Here is a 22,107-nt window from a genome sequence, read left to right on the forward strand (position 1 = left end):
ACAGGGCCAGGTGGGGCGGGCGCGCGTGTGGGGGGGCGGGCGCGCGTGTCGGGGGCGGGCGCGCGTGTGGGGGGGCGGGCGCGCGTGTCGGGGGGCGGGCGCGGGGGCGGGCACAGCAGGCGCAGGGTCTTTCCCACATGCTGGGCTGCAGAGTGAGGAAAACCCATCCCGGAGGAAGCTGGCGGTTAGGCTGGCTGAAGGCATTCTGCATGATGAACACAACAGTTCTCAAAAAAGTAATGATGTCATACCAGAGCAGCAGGAGGGGGTGGTCTGTGACCATGTATGCTTGATAAATTCTGGATTTAAGCAAAGTAGGCCGGCTTCTTTGTCAATAGACGTATTGGGTTATTCCCGGGGGGGCTGCAGCCGGAGCACCTCCCACTCCTTCGCAGGGGTTATTTCTGAAGACCCCCTCTTGGAGGAGCTCTGCTAGGGCCCTGCGTGCACCTGCTGCCCTGGCATCCTGGCCAGCAGCTCCGCCAGGCTCTAGTGTGTATGGCCTGGGCTACCTCCCGGTACTGTCGCCGCAGGCCTTGGGACCCGTTCCCGCCGCGAGGCTCCCGAGGTAGCCCCGGCCTCCGGTTCTTCTCAGATAGCCCCGTCGTCCAGCCCCAGAAGCGGGCACTAATGCCTTCCCTGAACGCTGAAAGTTGTTGAATGGATATGGACAATGATTAGAATCATGTAGAAAACATTAAGTGATGGTCAGTATGTTCTGTTTGGGAAATACTGAAATGTGCAACACAAGCTAGAAATAACAACATGCAGAACAGCACAACTTTGTAAGACCCGCGCTGAAGGAGGCAGCATTTGTGTGAGAGCGCCCGGCGCTGCCCAGAAGAGCTGGAACGCCCAAGGAAGGCCGCTGCTCAGCGCAGGACCCCTGGGCTCCCGGAAACGGGATAGCGTTGCTTATCTTTAAGGTAGGCTTGGGAAATACCTTGTTTCTCCGTAGTTTTGTGGGTGTATATACAGATACTCCTTGACTTACCATGGGGGTTACATCCCAGTAAACCCATCGTAAGTTGAAAATACCATAGTCAAAGATGCATTTAATACACTTGACCTACCAAACATCATAGCTTAGTGTAGCCTGCTTTTAACGTGCTCAGAGTTAGGCAAAATCCTACTTTATAGTTAAGTGTTGAATATCTCATGTCATTTATTGAATACTGTACTGAGAGTGAAAAAGAGAATGGTTGTGTGGGTACTCAAAGTAGAGTTTATATTGAGTGTGTATCACTATCACACCAGTAAGAAGTCAAAACATCATACGTCGAACCATCCTAAATTGGAAATTTGTGTGTGTGTCTGTGTGTGTGTGTGTGTGTGTGTGTGTGTGGTTTTTAACCGATAGGCAAGAGACACTTCCTAATGGCCTGTTTAATGACTCCAAATTACCTTGCGTCTCTTCATTGAGAAGGTGATTTAGTTTTCCCTAGGTGGTGAGGCACTATTTAAAAATTAATTTAAGCAACAACTCCAATAAACATGGGTTCATCTTTCAGTCTCTTATTAATCATATTCCAGAAAGAATTGAAGTTCTCTACCTGAGGCGTTTTGAAATTTTTTTCAATGTGGTTTTATGATAGTTATTTGAAATTACTTGACAGAGAGAAGACCATTTGTTATAGTTTGTGTACCAAGAGAAGTTCCAAGTGTGCCCCTGTTAAATTCCTTGAAAAGTTTTCACCTCTTGGGACAGACACTTAAAAGAAACTGAATTGGGCCCTGGTCAATAATCAATTTAAAAAGCTCTAGTAACTGAGAAAGTAAAATTCCATTTGCTCGTATGCCTGTCTTGCAAAGATCTATCAAAACTCCATGTTCTATTGCCTTTCTTTGGAATGAGAGCTGGAGCAGCTGACAGGGAAATCAATTGGTCCCCACCCTATTAATGCTTAATTAACATCGAGCTTGCTAGCATGTGAGCGCTCCCATAGGAAGGAGGCCTTGTATCAAGAGGAGGGAGCTGTGAGCACTGGCTGCTGGGGGGCTTTTGCAAGCGGCCCCCATGGATGGAGCCCAAAGGTGGAACACAGTTGCCAGTACTTTCTGGCTGACCGTGACCCCTGCAGTGTCAGGATGAGCCATATCACACCACCAGTGTCACACCAGAAGGGCACGAGGCAGCAATTCATGTGTGGTTGCACCTGCCCACCTCCCCGAGGTGGTCAAGGAAGGGGCAACATCAGAGGACCACCACTGTGAAGCCTCTGAGAAGCCATTTTTACTTCCTGCCACTGCAAAGCTCAGAATTGTGAGAGAGCCAGAAAAACTGCTGTCACCGCACACCCCATCAGAAGTGACCATAAGGGTGTTGTCTCTGCTCCAGGACAGGAGGCCCCCACGATGTGGTTGCAATAAGTGGGTGGTCCCTATGGTTGATGGTCCCTAAGTGGTGAGGTACTATTTAAAAATTAGTTAAAGCGATAACTCCAATTAAAGTGGATTCATTTTCAGCCTCTTATTATATTCTTATTGAATACAATTTATTATTTCAATGTGATTCAATATTTCAACAATGGTAGTGTCTCACCAACCACAACATGGTTGAGCCCCTTCTGGAGGGACCTTAAGGGTGTTACCATAACCAGTGTCCCATTCCAGCTGATTGGGCCCCATCCTCAGTCCCTGCTCAAGGAGGCAACACGGCTATTTGTTGCCCAGGAGAAGCAGCTTTGTGCACCTGAGTGGGCATTATCCCCAAAAGTGGCCCATAAAGTCAGCGCCCCTGACCCCCGGCCCCGTGATGGTGAGCTCCTAAGGGCGTGAGACTCTCATGCCACTGGAGGGCTTGAACAGAGGCTTAGCTGAGTGGGCCTTTTCTGTGGCAACAAAGGGCCAGAGAAGGGCCATCAGGCTTGGAGAGGGCTTGCTTACATTAGACAGCTGAGATGAGACCAAAGGAAGTGGGGGGTGCACACAGCCCTGACACTGTGGGCCTTTGCCTGCATGCAGTCTCTGCCCTGCATGGGACAGCAGCTTCCTCCACCTACAATTCCTGCAAGTCTCCCATTCTCATGGGGTGCTTCCTTTGGCTTTTTGCTTTTAGGTTTGTTTTGTTTTGTTTTGTTTTAATTTTAAGAAAAACCTGTTCAGAGCATGGGTTAATTTGCTAAAGCAATCAGGATGATTCCTTCTGAGATTCAGGGTAGAGGGGGTCATAGAAATCATGGGCCGTTCAGAGGCAAGAGGACAGGAAGCGGGCACCATGAGAGATGGAGGGAGGGGCTCATCCTGAACATGTTCCAGCCCCAGCCCACAACATTCCTGCAAAACCCCTCCTGGAATAGGGGCCACCCTGAGCCTCTGTTCCTTGCCCCACATAAGCTCAACCTTTACCAGAAGGACCACCAGATCCACGTTTGCCGGAGGGGGAGACCTACTGTTGGCTTGGACTCCAAGCAGGATGGAGGTCTTCCTGCCAACAATGCCCACGGCACAGAAAGCAGAGATGGCGGGGCCAGGTCATGATGCTGAGGGGACAGAGATCCTACAGTGTTCACTGTGCAGAGGGCATGGAGCTCCAATGAGGACTGGGCCCCTAGAGGCCACGCAGGGGCAGGTGCCAAAGTAAAGAACGCTAAGACATAGGTGGTCCTGCAGTGGGAAGCTGGCATCCAGCACCTCCACCAGGTAGGGTGTGGGGCATGAAAGAACCCAAGGAGCCAATGCAAGGACAAAGTCAATTCCAAACAGGCCACAACTACTCCTCTTGTTCCATGTTCTGATTTCCCAGGAATGGTCCAAGTTAACATCTGTCTTCCCAGTGTGATTTCATTTGCAGAATTGTCCTGGTTAAGATGATTAATCATATGATCTCTCTATTTAAGGGAGATTGGCAGGTTCTTCATAGGGAAGATATTAGTTACTTATTGCTGCCTAAATAATTATCCCAAAATACCACAGCTTAAGTTCAGGCGTGGCTTAGCTGGGCAGCTTAAGTTCAAGGTGCCTCATGAGATCACAGTGACACTATCAGTCTCACTGAAGGCTCAGCTGTGGCAGAGGGTAGGGACCACTTCCACGGGGTACTGCCATGGACTGCTGGACTGAGGGCCTCAGCTTTATACCATGGCAGTGGGCCTCTACACTTTGAGCCACTTTGGTGCCCTAGCACAGTGATCAGGAAGGGAGAGGGAGAACAGGAGAGCCCAAGACAGCCACAGTCTACTTATTACCCAATCTTGGGAGGGACATCCCATCATTTTGCCATATTCCATTCACTGGATGTGAGTCTCTAAGTCCAACCCACACTCAAAGGGAGGAGATTACATGAGGGCCGAGAAGGTGGGGTCATTGGGGGGTGTGTTAGAAACCACCAACCACCGTGAGTAAATGGGCTCTGGGCTCAGAACTTACCCATGGCAGTGCTTTGTGCCATACTGCACTGATCCCCCTTGATGCTTCTCACTCATTTCTGCTCCAGCTCGTTGCTGTTCCTCCTAGAGTTGCAGATTCAAGGGGCCTCACCAGTGACTGTGATGACTGTAAAACCCAGGCTTGTGGGTGCTATCTGGACACCAAGGAGACAGAGGCACATGGCACCACCCAGGACAAGCACTGAAGTTGGACTACCAGGTTCAAATCCCAGCTCCCCACCTTTAACTGTGTGACCGGGCCTTGGGGAAGTTATTTCAATTTTCTCTGCCCCCTGTCTATCAAGCATGGTGGTTGATAACACCTATTTTTCAGAACCACAGTGAGAATTGTGGAGATGCTCTATTTGAGATGTACAGGGTTCTCAGCTTACAGGCAGCACTCAGCGAATGTTAATTATCATTATCCAAAACTGGGATCCCCAGCAGGAGCAGCCCCAGCGCTCCCATGAGGCTTGGTTCGACCTGAATGATTGACACTGCCAAGAGCAACATCACCTTCCCTCTCCAAGCCTGATGGCCCCTTCTCTGGGTCTCCGTCATGACAGAAGTGGCCCAGCCAGCTAACCCTCTGTCCAGGCCCTCCAGTGGCATGAGAGGTCCACTTTCCTGAGATGAGCCTCCAGCCATCTGGAACTAGCCTGTTCCTCCCTCCCTCTGTTCCTGCCCTCCCGAAGCCCACAGTCCCTCAGACCCGCAGTTTGGTCCCAGCTCCCTCACTGCACCCCACCTGATGCCATCTCTCCCAGCCATGCAGAGCAGAGCCCTGATGCCTGACCCAGAGCTGATGTTCCTTTCCGGGATGATATGAAGCATCAGAGAGGATGTTCCAGCCCTGGGGAAGCCCAGCATGATTGGTTCTTCCTCTAACAACATTTACACACTTGACATCATCCACTTAACATTTTATCGGTAAAGGAGCTATGGCAACATGAGCTCACCTGACTGAGAAGGAAACTGATTCCACTTATAAAAGGGAACTTGTAACAGCAACATGTGTTCCAAACCCAGGAGCACCTGGGCCTAAATCCTGCTCTCCTTCTTACTCCAGGCATAAGGAAGCCTGGCTGTTGCCAGCCTCTCACCTGCAGAAGATGCACCTCATAGCACCCTGGACAGGTGAACCAAGACACATCACTGAAGTGCCAATACATGCACCCCTGAGGGCCCAAAGCCAACCTGAGGGCTCTGCCTGCCTGGCTCCCTGCACCCGAGTCCCCAGAAACGTGCTCACAGCACAGGGAGCTCCAGAGCCCAAGCCTCGGAGTGTTGGAAAACAACATCAACATGAGAAATGGGTGCTAGGAGTACCTTTGTAGGTGACATTAAAATGCTTACATTAGATAGCAGAGATGAGACCAAAGAAACTGGGGGGAGGGGGTGCCCCCAGCCCTGACACTGTGGGCCTTTGCCTGTATGCAGCCTTTGCCCTGCAAGGGACAGCAGCTTCCTCTGCCTATAATACCTGCAAGCCTCCCATTCTCATGGAGTGCTTCCTTTTGGCTTTTTGCTTTTAGGTTTCTTTTGTTTGTTTTTAATTTTAAGAATAACCTGTTTGGAGAGCTGGGCATGGGGGCTTGTTCCTATAGTACCAGCTTCTCAGAAGGCTGAGGCAGAAGGATCACTTAAGCCTAAGAGTTTGAGACCAGCTCTCATATAGTGAGACCTTGTCTCTAAAGAAAAGAAAGAAAAAGAACCTGTTTGGACACACAAAATCTAACTTTTCCCCCTCTCTTCCTGATCCCTTTCCAGCAGTGCTTTGGGGCTGAGCAGTAAAATCCAAAAGAGATTCAGTTGGGTAAAATACTAAAATCTAGCCAGGCACAGTGGCTTGCACCTGTAACCCCAGCACTTTGGGAGGCTAAGGCGGGAGGATCACTTGAACCCAGGAGTTTGAGACCAGCCTGGGCAAAATAGTGAGACCGTGTCTCTATAAAAAAATTTAAAAATTAGCAAGGCATGGTAGCATGCACCTGTAGTCCCAGCTACCTGGGAGGCTGAGGTGAGAGGATCGCTTCAGCCTGAGAGGTCAAGGCTGCAGTGAGCTGTGGTTATGCCTCTGCACTCTAGCCTGGGAGACAGAGCAAGACCCCGTCTCAGGAAGAAAAAAAAAAGTCTGCTCTCCCTGCAAATCGCGTGTGCTGGTGATGAGGGAGGCATGTGCAGTTCGTGAAAAAATAGGGTTTCTGATTTTCCACTCCTCAGGTACAGGGTGGGTGGGCCTGGGACTCCTGGTGAAGCCCTCTACAGGCAGGGTCATATCCTACCCTCAGGCTGGTGGGCAGGGCACACTCCACCCTCAGGCTGGTGGGCAGGGCACACTCCACCCTCAGGCTGGTGGGCAGGGTGGCCCTCAGTCTCAGGATGGTGGATGGGGGCAGACCCCCACCATTAGGCAGCGAACATGTGGGAAGACAGAAGAAAGAGGAAGGAAAGGCACTGAACATGTCCACCAGGGTATTGCCCAGGCCAGCATATTTGCAGGGTTAGTTTGTCCCCTCTGTCAGGAGGGGTCTTCAGCCCCTGGGGAAGTAAGGTGCCTAAGCTCTCACAGCTGATAAGTGGCAGTTCTTGCAGATGAGTCTGAGCTAGGTGCTAATGCCTCAGTGCTCATTTTTCCAGGCTCTGCACCACCAAGACCTTACTCAGGTGTGTCCAGGCCAGCATTTCCCAAGGGCATCTAGAGATCACTGTGATCACTGGTTGTTGATGTTCATTTCCCCCACTAGTGTCTAAGCCATATGAAATTCATATTATTTCTCAAATCTGGCTCTCCCACCTACTGCCTGTGTGACTGCGGGGACATCCCAGAGCCTCTCCAAGCCTCTTTTCTTATCTATAAAATGAGATGGTAATAATAACATTGACCTCAGCCGGGCTCGGTGGCTCACGCCTGTAATCCCAGCACTTTGGGAGGCTGAGGAGGTTGGATCACCTGAGATCAGGAGTTCCGAGACCAGTCTGGCCATATGGTGAAACCCCTTTTCTACTAAAAATACAAAAAATTAGCCAGACGTGGTGGCAGGCATCTGTAATCCCAGCTACTCCAGAGGCTGAGGCAGAAGAATCACTTGAACCCGGGAGGCAGAGGTTGCAGTGAGCCAAGGTCGCACCACTGCACTCCAGCCTGGGTGACAAGACTCCATGACCTCACAAGGCTGTTGTGAGCATTAAAGGTCTCCATCCACGTAAAGCACTTATAAAACTGTCAAGCCCATAATAAGTACTCAATAAATGTCAGCTGTTAATATTGTTATCTGAAAATTCTGCCTCTAACCTGAGTTCTTAATTGGGTTTACTTTTAAAGGGATCAAATCTAGTTCTCCTTGAGCACTTCATATACAAAGAATGCAGAATGAAAGGGCCCATGAGAACACGTGGTCAAACCTTTTCCTCTGGAGGACAAAGGTGCTTGACTGAAGCCACACAGCCAGTTGTCCACTCTCTGGGCTCCCAGGAACTTGCAAGCCTTACTGCCTGGAGCATCCTTTCCCTGAGAAGGACACAGGCAGCTCTCTTAGCAGTGTGTAGAATTTATTACTTTTTTGTTTTACTTGGTTTGTTTAGGGTTTATATCTTTTCTCTTCTTACTCCAGACAAAAGTTGCTTGAGAAGGCAGAAAAGAGATGGAGAAAGTTGGGGCCAACCAGTCCGAGCTTCTGCCAGTTCAGTCCCAGGCAGACAGTTGTTGGCCTGGATAGGGAAGCCAGCAGCCATAGAGCCCTCAGAAGCAGCAAGAAGTAAGAGAAGCGTGAGGGCTTCGGGGTTTGGTAGACCTAGGCACAGACCCTCCAGCGCATGTGAGCTGTGTGATTATGGCACCATCCAGAGGCTGCCTGGGGTTTTACTCCCCAGGGTTCCTCATACCCTCTGGCCTGGCTGTTAGCCCCACAACTGAGGAAAGCATTGTCACGGGTACCAGGAGTTAAATTCTTGGCTTTTACATTTTGGAAGTTTAAGCTCAGGGAAGGAACAAGAGATTTGGAAGATATGAGAAAGACTAGAGCAAATTCTCTCTTCTCTCCCTGCAATAGAAATTATTTCCTAAACTGAGGAAAGAGACGAAACCAGAGGAAAAAAAGAAGAGAAAATTTAAGCAATAAGAAAATGTAATTTTTAAAAAATATATGACATTTGTTAGAGATAAAACATGTAAGTGTTGACAAAGAAGAGTCAGACTCTAAAATATTCGAAGAGATTTATTCTGAGCCAAATATGAGTGACCAATGACCTGTGACACAGCCCTCAGGAGATCTGAGAACATGTGTCCAAAGTGGTTGGATTACATCTTGGTTTTATACAATTTAGAGAGACAAAAGACATCAATCAGTACATGTAAGATGTACACTGTTCGGTCCAGAAATGTGGAACAACTCAAAGCAAGGGCTTCCGGGTCATAGGCAGATTTAAAGGTTTTCTGATTGGCAATTGGTTGAGTTATTATCTAAAGACCTGGAATCAATAGAAAGGAATGTCTGTCTTGTGATAAGGGGTTGTGGAGATCAAAGTTTTATCATGCACATGAAGCCACCAGGTAGGAGGCTTCAGAAAGAATAGACTGTAGCTGTTTCTTTCAAATGTTAAAAGCCTGGCCAGGCACGGTGGGTCATGCCCATAATCCTAACACTTTGGGAGGCCAAGGCGGGTGGATCATCTGAGGTCAGGAGTTTGAGACCAGCCTGGCCAGCATGGTGAAACCTCGTCTCTACTAAAAATACAAAACTTAGCCAGGTGTGGTGGTGCACACCTGTAATCCCAACTACTCAGGAGGCTGAGGAAGAAGAATTACCTGAACCCAGGAAGTGGAGGTTGCAGTGAGCAGAGATGGCACCACTGCACTCCAGCCTGTGTGACAGGAACAAGACTCCATCTCAAAAAAAAAAAAAAAAGCATCTGTTTTATCAATCTTAAGATCTCTGTTTTAATGTTAATGCTGGTGAGTTGGGCCTGAATTCCAAAATGGATGAGGGTATAATGAGGCATCTCCAACTCACCATTCCCATCATGGCCTGAACTAGTTTTTCAGGTTAACTTTGGAGTGCCGTTGGCCAAGACAAGGGGTCCACTTAGATGGTTGGGGGTCTTAGAATTTTATTTTTGGTTTATATAAGGTACGTAGGAATTAACCTAAAACATAATATTCAAGACATATATAAAGAAAATTACTAAAAATGGTGAGATAAAATAATGAACTAAATGGAGAACTATACCAAGTTCATGAATAGAAAGACTCACTATTATAGAGGTCAGTCCTGTCCAAACTGAACTATAGATTCCATAAGTCACAATCAAAATTCCAATTGGATTTTGAAGGAATTTGACAAGTTGGTTCTAAAACTTAGAGGAGGAAAAGCCAAAGAATTCATAAAGACTTTTGCACAACCAGGCAGCTACACAGCTTCACGCCACCAGCCATCCCCTCCCCCACTTCCTTCCATGGTAGGCACTCATTCCTTACTCACCTGGATCAGCAGCCTCTCAGGTCACAACACACTCTCAGGCCCCATGCACCTGTCCTTGCAACTATCTCTCCTATGGGGCCCTCCATTGAACATGCCCTCTAAGCCTTGGCTGTGGAGGGTGAAGGATCTCACTTCACTCCATCTCTGGGCAGGCTGTCTGTAGGCCAGGCACACTCATCCTGAAGGAGCTCACAATGTGGGAGCACATCACCACACCTAGAGTAGGGAGGTGAATGGCAAGAGCACAGGCTGAACACAGCCCCAGGAAATGCTCCTGGGGACAGGGCCAGCCCAAGGAGGAGGTTATCCTAAGAGCAGTGGGGGGTCCAGGGAAGGATTTTCAGGAAGGTGGTGATGGGTCAAATGTTTAAAGATGCTAGGCATGGAAGGCTCACTGTCGTCATCAGCAGTAGAAGCAGGCAGGTGTCTGGGACCATGCATAGCCAGTAGGACAGACATGGGCATCTGCAGGCCCTCTGAATGCCCCCTTGGCACCAGGAGATCTGTGGATGAGACCAACAGGCAGCCAGACCCTAGGTAGGCATGCCAAGGCACAGCCCCAGCCCACCCAGGAGGAAGCCCCGGGAGGAGGCTCTTCCCTCCACCTGGACAGAGTGGGTGTGGCTCTGCTACTGTTCTGTTGACAAGCGCCTCTCAAATTTGAAAGGGCAGAGGCTGGAGAAATAAATTATACAGAATATCACCATGTGCTCCCAGATTGGAAGCATTCAGAGGTTGCTAATCATAATAAATTAATGTAAAAAAAAATCTCAGTGGGGTCCTATAGGCTGCTTCAAACACAGCCTTGTCCTCAGTGTGGGTGCCTGAGTTTTCCCGTGGCTGTGACATCCAAGTGATGTTTAGCAATAATATGCAATGTAAGATTTTGTTTATGTAGAGGGAATTTTGTTTCAGAGGCCTGAATACTCCCTTGACCCCACAGCAGGGCCCATGGGGCTCCGTTCACATAGGGTGAAGCCAGCATCCTGTGTGCACAACCAGCAAAACACACTCAGACCTGTGGACAACTCGCCTCCTGATTCCCAGAGACAATTCCAGGAGACCTGGCAGCCCTCCAGGCATGGTTGGTGATGGTGTGCATGGAAGCTTCTGAGCCCATGAAGAGTGATAGAGGGGGGTCTGGCCAATCTGATCCCACACCCAGCTTCAGTGATCAATGAGTGCTTGACCTCTCTGGGTCTGTGACTCTCTGCATTTCAGGGATGTGCCTATGTACCTCCCAGGGCCGTTGTGAGGACTCAATGTCGATGTTGCTGGAAGCAGCTGCCTGAGACATGCTCAGCAAAGGTCCACACTGCCTCCTTCCTTCCACTCCCCACTGCTTTGACACACTTAGCACATCTCGTTCCTCTGAGTGGTCCCAGGAAGATACCCAGAGCTGTGGGGGCTGTTCTTGCAGGGCAGGCTCTGATCCTTGTCATCACTGTCTCCAGAGGAGCTCAAGCACTGGGTGAAGGCTAGGGTGAAGCTGATCTCACCCCATCTCCTCAGTCCTCACACACAAGTCAGTTGGACATGCAGATTCCACAGGCCTGATGTCATCTAACAAGCTGAAGTTTCCCCTGGGATTCAGCAATCCAAGGCTCTTCCTGAACAAAGCCCTCCCATTCAGTCTATAACACTCTGCCTCTGTCCTCTCAAACTTTAGGTCCTTCTCACATTCAAAATACATTCATTTTATCCCGATAGCCCCAAAAGTCTTAGCTTGTTCCAGCATCAATGTCAGGGTCCAAAATCTCATCTAAATGTCATCTAAATCAGATATGGGTGAGACTGAAGGTGCAATTGATCCTGAGGGAAAATTCCTCTTCAGCCATGAACCTGTGAAACGAGACAAGTTATGTGCTTCCAAAATACAATAGTAGGGCAGGCAGAAGATAGACATTCCCATTCCCAAAGGGAAGAAAAGAAAAGAAGGAAGGGTGACAGGTCCCAGGCAAGTCCAAAACCTAGCAAGGCAAGTATCATTAGATCTTAAGGCTCAAGAATCATCTTATTCAGCTGGATTCTCTGCCCTCCAGACCTCCTGGGACAGCAGTCCTGCCTCTGCAGCTCTGCCATTTGGGGATCATGCCTCCCAGACTCTACAGGGTGGCGCCAAGGCTTTGGTCAGAGGCCACCTGGCCTATTCAAACTGAACTGGTGGTGTCCCTGTGATCTCTGAATCACCTTCAGGTTCTGTCTTCCCCTTCCTTGAAGAAGAGTGCACATGCGTAGCCAAATCACTCTATGGTCTGGTCCAGTCAGATCTAAGAATTCTGACAGCCTTCCATCACTTCATCTATTTTTTTCTGCCCCCTTTAGTTCAAATTAGCAGCGTCTCTGCTGGTATAATTCCATCTCTATTCCTGGCTTCCACTGAGATGGCTGAAGAAGTCCATGAGTCACACCCGTGATTTCTTTATCAAATGGCTGTACAGCCACACCTGTAGTGTTTCCTTCAGAACAAGATTTCTCACTTTTTGAAATACAGAGAGACTGAGAACTTCTCAGATATTCAAGTTCTGGTTCTTTTTTGTTTAAGAGTTTCTTCTTCAATTCCTCTCTCTTCTTTTGCATTTTACTATAAGCAGTCAGGAGGAACCAAGCTGCTCCTTCAGCTCTATGCTTAGAAATCTCCTTGGCTAGATATCCAACTCCATCACTCACAAGCTCCGTCTTCTACAAAACACTAGAACACAGTTCAGCCAAGCTCTGTGCCACGTTATAACCAGAATCACTATTCTTCCAATTTGCAATAACATGTTCCTCATTTCCAACTGAGACATCACCAGAATCACCCTAAATGTCCATATTTCTAGCACATACCTCAAAACTCTTCCAGCCTCTACCCATTACCCAGTTCCAAAGACACTTTCACATATCTATGTATTTGTTATAGTCAGGTAGAGTAGAGATTCCCCTTCTTTTTAGGGACCTGTGTACCCCCCAAGCATGAAATAAAGAAAAATCCCAAGGTCCCTTAAAAAAATTTCCAGGCATCTGGCTAGTCCCAGAGGTAATTAAGTCCTTGTTTAAAAAAGGTAATAATAGCCTAAGAACAATAGTCAAGGAAGTTAAAGCTCCAGAAATGTTTGCTTTCCCTATAGAAAGTAAAGATAAAATCTTAACATATGTCCCTAACCTGTCTCTCAGAGGCTGGGACGCCTGCTGAGGACCCCCTCCCCACCTACTAAAGATCCACTGGCACACAGACCCCAGATGAGAGAGAAACTAAGATGAAAGTTTTTAACTATTGTCTTTGTTCCAAGTTTCTTCCTGAGGGGCTGTGAGAAACTCACTCCCCCTAGCAAGTTAACATTTTTCTACTGACCCCCTAAATTTTAAACAAAGCTTCTCTTCCTTACCAATTGCAAATCAGAAGATATTTAAGTCCACCCATGATCTGTGAGCCCCCATTCAAGATGTCTCATCCTTTCAAGCTTAAACCAATGTGTAACCTCTGTGTATTGATTTAGGATTTTGCCTGTAGCTTCTGCTTTCCTGCAACTTACCCCTGCCTGTGAGACATGGGGGAGGCCAGATCTTGAGCATTTAGCTGCCTGGTCCTCCTTGCTTGGTGCTCTGCAGTAAACACCTTCCTTTCTACCACTGCAGAAACCCTGGTATGGGTATTTGGTGTTATTGTGCACAGAGAGTGGCCCCCAGTTTGGTTCTGTAACAATAGTTAGCACCTCACTTCTTAGTCCTGAAATCTGTATTCATCTGCTCAGCTGCCATCACAAAATTCCACAGACCAGGTGGCTCAAACAACAGAAACGTATTTCTTACAGTTTTGGAGGTGTGAGATCAGTGCCACCATGGTGAGACCCTGGTGAGCACTCTTCTTGCCTGCCTTCTCAAAAGCCCTCTGTGACTCTTCTCATAAGGATGCCAATCCCATCACGAGGGCCCCACCCTCAGGACCTCATCTAAACCTAATCACTTCCCAAAGGCCCCAACTCCTCACACCAAACTGGGAGTCAGGGCTTCCGCATGTGAATTTTAAGGAGACACAGCTCAGTCCATAGCCTCTCCCCTGGTGGCTTGGGAGTATACTGTGGCACCAAGGTGACATCCAGCCCAGGCCCTGGAGTGAGGAATCTTGGATCCTCAGTGTGGAGAAAAGCTGATGGGGCCAGACTGCATGCCCCTGCTCCACATCCATCCTCCTCCTGCTGCTGCTGTGCTGGCAGCAACTCAAGGAAGCTTGCATTCCAGGGACACACCTGTGTGAGCTGACTACAAGGAACAAAGCCTTTGTTCAGACTGGAAGATGCTAGGAGCTGTAGTCTGGAGGAGAAAAGCTGACCCCTGCCTTAAGCTGCCTGCATCTCCCTGCAGCCCCACTAGAGCGTCCCGCTCTCAGCCTCAGCCTCAGCCTCAGCCTGGCCCGTGTGGACAGCGCCGCCCACTCTGCCCCTGCCCTGGCCACGTGGAGCCCAAGGACACTGCAGGCCTCCAGCCTCCCCGCCAGCCTGGCCCTCCCATATATCTGCTGGGTCCCTCATCGGGACCCAACTGGCCGCTTCCCTGACTTCAGGTCCTGGGTCCCTTTCTCTATGTTCTTCGTCTGCCTCCTCCTTCCCAAATGAGGTGCCCTCACTGCACCTCAGGGGGAAATGGGGCCAGAGCCTGTGGAGCAGGAAGACCCCTCAGGGTGCTCGGGGCCCTGCTGCTGCCTGCTCCATCCCCAGGATGTCACCTCTGTGGAGAGAAAGATGAGAGAAAAAAGGAGGGATGGGCACGTGGGAGAGGACAAAGGGTCCTGGAAAGGCAGGGATGGAAGGAGGGGAGCCAAGGATTACGTTCAGAAAGAAAGAAGCCCATCTTGGTAGGGGTTCAGCTTCCAGGGAGAGGCAGAGTGGACACCCCCTCCCACGCTGCACCCCAGGGCCTGGAGGAGGTGCTGGAGACCTAAAGAGGTCGGTCAGAGAGCCCAGGTCCCAGGACGCACCAGCTCCACAGTGCGAGGGCCACCTGCCCCGACCTGGGTCTCCTTGGTGGTATGGTTGGTAGACTCTAGCTCGGGGGCAGAAATGCTGTGCCCAGGAGGGACGGGGCCTGAGGCCTCCTTGGCCCCTTTGTCACAGGAGCTTGGCAGGTACCAGGCATTCATGTGACTAATGCGTGAAGGAATGAGTGAATGAAGACAGAAGATTCACAAGAAACCTGCTGGAGAAGGTAGAGCGCTGTCCAGATGCCATCATTCCTTTTTTTCATTTCTGCAATTCTGCCTTGCCTTTTGGGTCCCTTCCATTCAGCACTTGGCCCAATGTCACACCTCTACCCAAGCAGCTTGTCTCCCGAGGTGTTCGGATGCCCTTATGCCCACTCAACCTGCTCCTCCTCAATTCTCTAAGCTGACTGTCAGCAAAACCCAGGGCCCCAGAAACCCAGGCCCCTCCTCTACGGAGCACCTCCTGGGTCTCCATGGGTGCTGCATTCACCGAGAAGGATCAGGCAGGAACACAATTTACCCTTTGCAAGTGTTCCCGTTGGGTTTGCTAGTCACTTTGCAGTATTTCTGCAGGGTGATGATGAGATGCTAGCAGGCTCCCCAGCACTCAACACCACACTCTCAGAAGTACATCCCCATAGGAAACTGGCCCATGGAGGGGACAAATAATAAACCTGCAAAAATGTCCACAGCCCGATCCCCCGAACATTACCATGTGGGGAAAGCCTTCGTAAATGTGATTATGTTAAGGACGTTGAGATGAGGGATTATCCTGGTTTATCCAGGTGGGCCAAGTATGATCTCAAGGGCCAGGGTTGGGGAAGGACAGGTAATGGTGGATGCAGAGGCTGCGGCGATGGGACATCTCGTTAAGGAGTACGGGCAGCCTCCAGAAGCCGCAGGCTCCAGAAAGAACACATCCTGATGGCATGTTGGTTCTACTTTTTAAATTTTGTATTTATTTATTTTTTGGGAGACAGGGTCATACTGTGTCACCCAGGCTGGAATGCAGAGGTGCAAACACAGCTCACTGCCACTTCCACCTCCCAGGCTCAGGCAATATTTACACCTCAGCTTCCCAAGTAGCTGGGACCACAGGCGCGCACCAACACACCCAGCTAATTTTGTTGTTGTTACTGTTTTGTAGAGATGGGGGTCTCACCATGTTGCCCAGGCTGGTATTGAACTACGGGACTTAAGCGATCTTCCCACCTGGGCCTCCCAAAGTGCATAGCCACTGCATCCTGCTGACACATTAATTTTAGCCAAGTCAGATTGATTTCAAATTTCCTGTCTCCAAAACTGTAAAACAGTAAATATGTGGTGTTCTCAGGTGCTGTTGGTGGCGTTTTGTTACAGCAGTTGTAGAAACTGAAAAGAAACACCCCTGCCCCAGCGCTTTTGCTCATTCCTTCACTCAAAATTCTGTTGTTTCACTTTTGTTATACAACCTTTATTCAACAATTGTCAAAAGCCCACCACAGAACATTTTCTAAATTATAAAGGAATACATTAAATCAGTCATACTCATGTCCCAAAGCTGACCACTGGCCATTCTGGGTGTTTCCTTCCAGTCTTTCCTCTTGTCTGTAAGCAGTCTTTTGCTTGCAGTGATACCACCATGTCTTTGTATTGGTCTTTTCCCACTTCACATCAAGGCACGAGCATTTTCCCTCCAGTTAAAGACCACTCTGTCCCATGAGTGGTCACACACCGTCATCAAGCCCGACCCTTAGCCCCCTCTCTGCAACCACTGATAGTCTCAGATGTGCAGCATTCTAAACAGTGCCAGGTGCTTCTGCTGTGGCTTTGTTTGGCTTTCTTACTGCTTCTTAGAACCGATTCCTAAAATCAGAATTACAACATCAAAACTATATAGATGTGAACCAAGTCAGAAAAGCACTTTCCAGCAAGATTGTCCCAGTGACCACCCTAATCACCATGTGTCTCCTTTCACACTTGCCAGAATGGCAGAATGGCTTTCATTAAATTCTAACTGGTGTGACTGCTCCCCATGATTATATCGTTTCTATTTTTCATGCCTGGGGCAGCTGGGAAATGGATAACTCAGACCACAGTGGTTTGCACTCTCTTCTGTGGGCGTTTTCTCAATGCCTTGTGCATGCTAGTTTGTGGGCACCTAAAATTTCAGAGGAAAATGAAAACAGACCCTGATATCAGGGAGCTTTCAAAGCACTTGAAAAGACAAAACTAGACACAAAGAGCAGATATACCACACCCTGGCCCGCCGCCGCCATCTGCCATCACGCCCTTCCTGGCACAAGCATGACAAAAACTCCTCTGCAGAGCCATGCCACATTGAAAACAGCCGACCCTCCCTCAGCACCCTCACCACAAACACAGCCGTCCCTCCCTCACTACCCTCACCCCAAACAGCCCACCCTCCCTGACCCTGACCCCAAACACAGCCAACCCTCCCTCACCACCCTCACCCCAACACAGCCGACCCTCCCTCAGCACCCTCACCCCAAGCACAGCCGACCCTCCCTCAGCACCCTCACCCCAAGCACAGCCGACCCTCCCTCAGCACCCTCACCCCAAGCACAGCCGACCCTCCCTCAGCACCCTCACCCCAAACACAGCCGACCCTCCCTCAGCACCCTCATCCCAAACACAGCCGACCCTCCCCTGGGCATCCTGACCCCAAACACAGCTGACCCTCCCCTGGGCACCCTGACCCCAAACAGAGCCAACCCTCCTCTGAGACCCTTACCCCTGGCAGGATTGACCCCTCCTCTGAGCCCCCTGACCCCGGGAAGGCCTAGCCCCTCCTGTAAGCCCCTGAACCAGGACAGGGCTGACCCTTCCTCTGAGCTCCCTAAACCAGGACAGGACTAACCTCTCCTCTGAGCCCCCTAACCCCTGGCAGGGCTGACCCCTCCTCTGAGCCTTGCTGGAATCCTGTGCCAAGAGGGGCTTGAGTGTGCCAATGAGCCATCCCAGGGCAGTCAGCATTTTACTGTTCTCAGTTCTGAGTATGGTGCATGGGAAAGAACAGGACCTCTGCAAATGATTTTAAAGAATGAATAAAACTGAGTACATATCCAAAGATGGCACAGACTATCAAATATTGAAACTGTGGAAGGAGAGATTGGTGGGGACCAGAGCAGCTGGGTTTAGGAGCTTTGGTGCCAGACAGAGCTGGGCTTGATATCACCTGTGCCATTTGCAAGCTGTGTGATGTGGCTGAGTTCCCAACCGCCTGAGCCTCCATATCCTCATCCATAAAGTACAGGGCTCACAAGACAATGACCTCATGCACTGCTGTGCCCACCACAGCATCCAGTGATCGGCCATGGCATGGGGGCCTGTCTGGGGAGGACAGGGCACACAGAGGAAGGAAGGATGGGTCTCAGGTGGGCTGACACCTGGGAAAAGGGTGGACAATCTGGGGAACAGGTCAGGAGAAGTATAGCTGGACCTCTTTCCCTGGGTTACCAACTTCAAATTCCCAGCATGATCATTGCCCTGCCCTGCACCCCCACCCCACAGCCACACATACTCTCTGACTTCAGAATGCCCTATGACTGGTGCAAGTAACTTTTTATAATTTAACTGCAAATGTCTTCATTAAAAAAAAAAAGCTATTGCATTTGTGTAAGCCAAACTCTAGAGGTACACCTTTGTTTGCACCCCAACAAGGTTAGCATAGGGGGAGCACTGAGTTGGGAAGATAGGGTCATTTTCCTCGCCCTACTTATTGGAAAACCACATGAATGGAACCTCCAGGACACTTGACAGCTTTGCCCCGTTGGCCTCAAGCTCCAGGACTGAAGGGCTGGAGTCAGCTATAGTCCTGTCCCCATCAGCACATGACCTGAGCTCAGCCTTGGGAGTGCTGCATTCCAAGGCCTGTCCAAGGAGGGCTCAGCTTGGGTGGGATAGACCCCTTGTGTTCATGACTGGCCTCGCTGAGGTTTCTGTGAAAAGGGCGAATAGGAGCCCATGTGTTATCACACCCTCATGTTTGTGTACTCCTACTCCTCCCACAGGCCACCAAGGTGACATAAGCAGGTCCTTCTCTCTCCTGCCCTATCAAAGTCCTGGGCCTTCAGACCAGCAGCACTGGTCACACCTGGGAGCTGGTCAGGAATGCAGAATCCCTGATCCCACTCAGATCTGGTGAGTCAGCATCTGCACCTCAACAAGATCCCCAGAGATGGGTGGGCACCTTCGGTCTGATGCCATGCCCATCGCCCACAGCTGGCTCCATGTATCTCTTGGCCCCTTCACACCCCGGAGAGCTATTTTCTGACAACCCACAGCACAACTGCAAGACCTGGTTTCTCCCAGCATGACCATGACCATGACCATGACCATGACCATGCATCACCATGAGCATCGAATCCTCCCTGCCCTCCCAAGATGGCCTCTTCTCAGTGCCATAGGGAGGGGAAAGAGCTTGATGAGTTGGTTGGATTTGCAGCAACTCAGAGGCAGGGGAAATTGACATCAAAAGAGAACAGAGCTGTCAACCGCCTAAGAGATTTTCTTCCAATTCCATTAAAAATGTATTTCATAAAAACAGAGGCCACTTAAATAAATCCATGTCAGGGAATGAGAGATTTTGGAGAGACTCACCCGTGTTTCCACAGGAAAGGGCTCCATCCAAAGGCAGGTTCAACTCCCAGGAGAAGCACCTTAATGGCATTCAGGAAACATTGCATTTCAGGAAACGGAATCCCAGAAATGTCTAACTTCATGACTGCAGGAAATTGGAGGAATGAGGTCTATTTAAAAGATCAGCCTGTGAGATGGAACTCAGAGAAAAGGTGTCCTAGAAATGATGATGGAAACATGGTGTTAGAGAAGTTAAATTAAAACGGAATCACCCTCTGGGCTGTTGTCATCACCTGGGAATTCTCAGTGAATCCTCAGGAACCCTAGAATACTGCAGTGCTATAATTATGGTGTGCAATCCACTCGTATCTAGTATGAAGCCTAAATGACAAGTCTATCAAAACAATAATAGCTTAATAGCAACCATTAAGAGATGGGCAATATAAAAATAATTAAATCAAGACAACCAAAAGTAAAAACATGGATAGGAGGGAGTTAAACTGTAGAGGATTTTTTGGTTTTTTTTAATTTCCATTTTTTGTGATCTAAGATAAGTTGTCATCCCTTTAAAATAACTCTTTATATCTATAAAATGTGTTTTGTAAGCCTCATGGTAACCGCAAAGCAAAAACATGTAATAGATTACTGAAAAAAAAATGAATTAAAACATGCTACCAGAGAAAAATTACTTAGTCACAAAAGGAAGACAGGAAGAAAGGAAGAGAGAAATTACAAAACAACCAGACAACAAGCAGCAAAGTGGCAGTAGTAAATCCTTACTTATCAATGATAGCACTGAATGTAAATGGACTCAGTTCTCTAATTAAGACGCAGAGTTCACACTGGAGAGAAGCCTCCAAATATAAAATTTTTTAAAAGACACAAAATGGCTGAACAAATAAAGAAACAAGATCCAGCTATATGCTGTATAGAAGGAACCCCCCTCTGCTATAAAGACACACACAGACTGGAAGTGAAGGGATAGAAAAATGTAATCCATAAAAGTAGAAACCAGAAAAGAGCAGGAGTAGCTACATTTGTATCAGTTAAAATAGAGTACAAGTCAAAGGCTGTAAGAAGAAACAAAGAAGATCACTATATAATGGTAAAGGGGTCAATTCATCGAGATGATATAATAACTATAAATATCTATGCACCTAACACTAAAGCACCCAATTATATAAACCAAATGCTAATAGATCTAAAGGGAGAGACTGCAATACAGTAGCAGTAGGGGACTTCAGCCTCCCACTCTCAGTAATGGACAGATATCCAGACAGAAAATCAACAAAGAAACATCAGAGTTAAACTACACACTAGACCAAATAAGCCTAACTGACATTCATAGAACATTTTACCCAATTGCTGCAGAATACACATTCTTTTCATCACACATAGAACATTTTCCAGAATGGACCATATTTTAGCCCAGAAAACACATCTATACAAATTCAAAAATCTAGAAATCACATCAAGTATCTTTTTTTTTTTTCCTGAGACAGAGTCTTGCTCTATTGCCCAGGCTGGAGTGCAGTGGCATGATCTCAGCTCACTGCAACCTTCACTTCCCAGGTTCAAGCCATTCTCCTGTGTCAGCCTCCTGAGTAGCTGGGATTACAGACGTGTGCCATCACACCCCAGCCATAGCAAGTATCTTTTTCACCACAGTGGAATAAAACTGGAAATCCATGACCAGAGGAACCTCGGAAAAGACACAAACACATAAAAATAAAAAACATGCTCCTGAATGGCCAATGGGTCAGCAAGGAAATCAAGAGGGAAAGTAAAAAATTTCCGAGGGCCAGGTGCGGTGGCTCATGCCTGTAATCCCAGCACTTTGGGAGGCTGAGGAGGGCGGATCACCTGAGGTCCGGAGTTGGACAAGCCTGGCCAACATGGTGAAACCCCGTTTCTACTAAAAATAGAAAAATTAGCTGGGCATGGTGGCAGGCACCTGTAATCCCAGCTACTCAGGAGGCTGAGGCAGGAGAATCACTTGAACATGGGAGGTGGAGGTTGCAGTGAGCTGAGATTGTGCCATTGCACTCCAGCCTGGGGGACAAGAGCGAGACTTCGTCTCAAAAAAAAAAAAAAAAGAAAAATTTCCAAAAAACAAATCACAATGGAAATACACCAAAATCTGTGGGAGACAGCAAAGCTGTACAAAGAGGGAAATGTATAGCAATAAACACCTACATCAAAAATGTAAACAAGCATCAAATAAGCAACCCAATGATGCACCTCAAGAAACTAGAATCACAAAAACAAACCAAACCCAAAATTAGTAGAAGGAAAGAAATAATAAAGATCAGAGCAGAAATAACTGGAAGTGAAACTTTAAAAATTATAAAAGATCAATGTAATAATGTGAAATATCTATGCAAGAAAAACTATAAAACACTGCTTAAAGAAATTGAATAGGACACAAAAAAGTGGAAAGATATTCCATGATCATGGATTGAAAGAATTAATATTGTTAAAACAACAATATTACCCAAAACAATTTACAGATTCAATGCAATGTCTATCAAAATACCAATGGCATTCTTCACAGAAATATAGAAAGCAATCCTATATTGATAATCCTAAAATCTATATGGAACCACAAAAGACCCTGAATAGCCACAGCAATCCTGAGGGGAAAAAAAAAAAAAAAAAAGCTGGAGGCATCACATTACCTGACTTCAAATTATACTACAAAGCTATAGTAACCAAATCA

General features: G+C 48.3%; 1 long non-coding RNA gene across 2 annotated transcripts, besides 4 other annotated features; it reads left to right on the forward strand.

The window, feature by feature from the left end:
* Positions 11 to 567: an enhancer, noted in NCBI's record as "H3K4me1 hESC enhancer chr2:130635324-130635880 (GRCh37/hg19 assembly coordinates)". NCBI's record gives its function as "activates a minimal SCP1, AML or CMV promoter by ChIP-STARR-seq in naive H9 embryonic stem cells {active_cell/tissue: H9 hESC(naive)}" and the evidence as "EXISTENCE:reporter gene assay evidence [ECO:0000049][PMID:30033119]".
* Positions 139 to 7,649, forward strand: LOC105373616 (uncharacterized). Of its 2 annotated transcripts, XR_923328.3 has the most exons (3): positions 139 to 926; positions 4,436 to 4,587; positions 5,437 to 7,649. It is a non-coding gene; the product is annotated as an uncharacterized LOC105373616 (long non-coding RNA). The 2 variants fall into 2 exon arrangements; XR_007087237.1 differs by having other exon boundaries at positions 4,436 to 7,649.
* Positions 568 to 1,123: an enhancer, noted in NCBI's record as "H3K4me1 hESC enhancer chr2:130635881-130636436 (GRCh37/hg19 assembly coordinates)". NCBI's record gives its function as "activates a minimal SCP1, AML or CMV promoter by ChIP-STARR-seq in naive H9 embryonic stem cells {active_cell/tissue: H9 hESC(naive)}" and the evidence as "EXISTENCE:reporter gene assay evidence [ECO:0000049][PMID:30033119]".
* Positions 3,001 to 3,501: an enhancer, noted in NCBI's record as "H3K4me1 hESC enhancer chr2:130638314-130638814 (GRCh37/hg19 assembly coordinates)". NCBI's record gives its function as "activates a minimal SCP1, AML or CMV promoter by ChIP-STARR-seq in naive H9 embryonic stem cells {active_cell/tissue: H9 hESC(naive)}" and the evidence as "EXISTENCE:reporter gene assay evidence [ECO:0000049][PMID:30033119]".
* Positions 10,072 to 10,309: a silencer, noted in NCBI's record as "fragment chr2:130645385-130645622 (GRCh37/hg19 assembly coordinates)". NCBI's record gives its function as "represses an EF-1alpha promoter that drives an FKBP-Casp9 reporter gene in an ReSE screen in phorbol 12-myristate 13-acetate-treated (for megakaryocytic differentiation) K562 erythroleukemia cells {active_cell/tissue: K562(+PMA)}" and the evidence as "EXISTENCE:reporter gene assay evidence [ECO:0000049][PMID:32094911]".

This window comes from Homo sapiens, chromosome 2 (assembly GCF_000001405.40).
Source record: "Homo sapiens chromosome 2, GRCh38.p14 Primary Assembly".
In the NCBI taxonomy this organism is placed as follows: domain Eukaryota; kingdom Metazoa; phylum Chordata; class Mammalia; order Primates; family Hominidae; genus Homo; species Homo sapiens.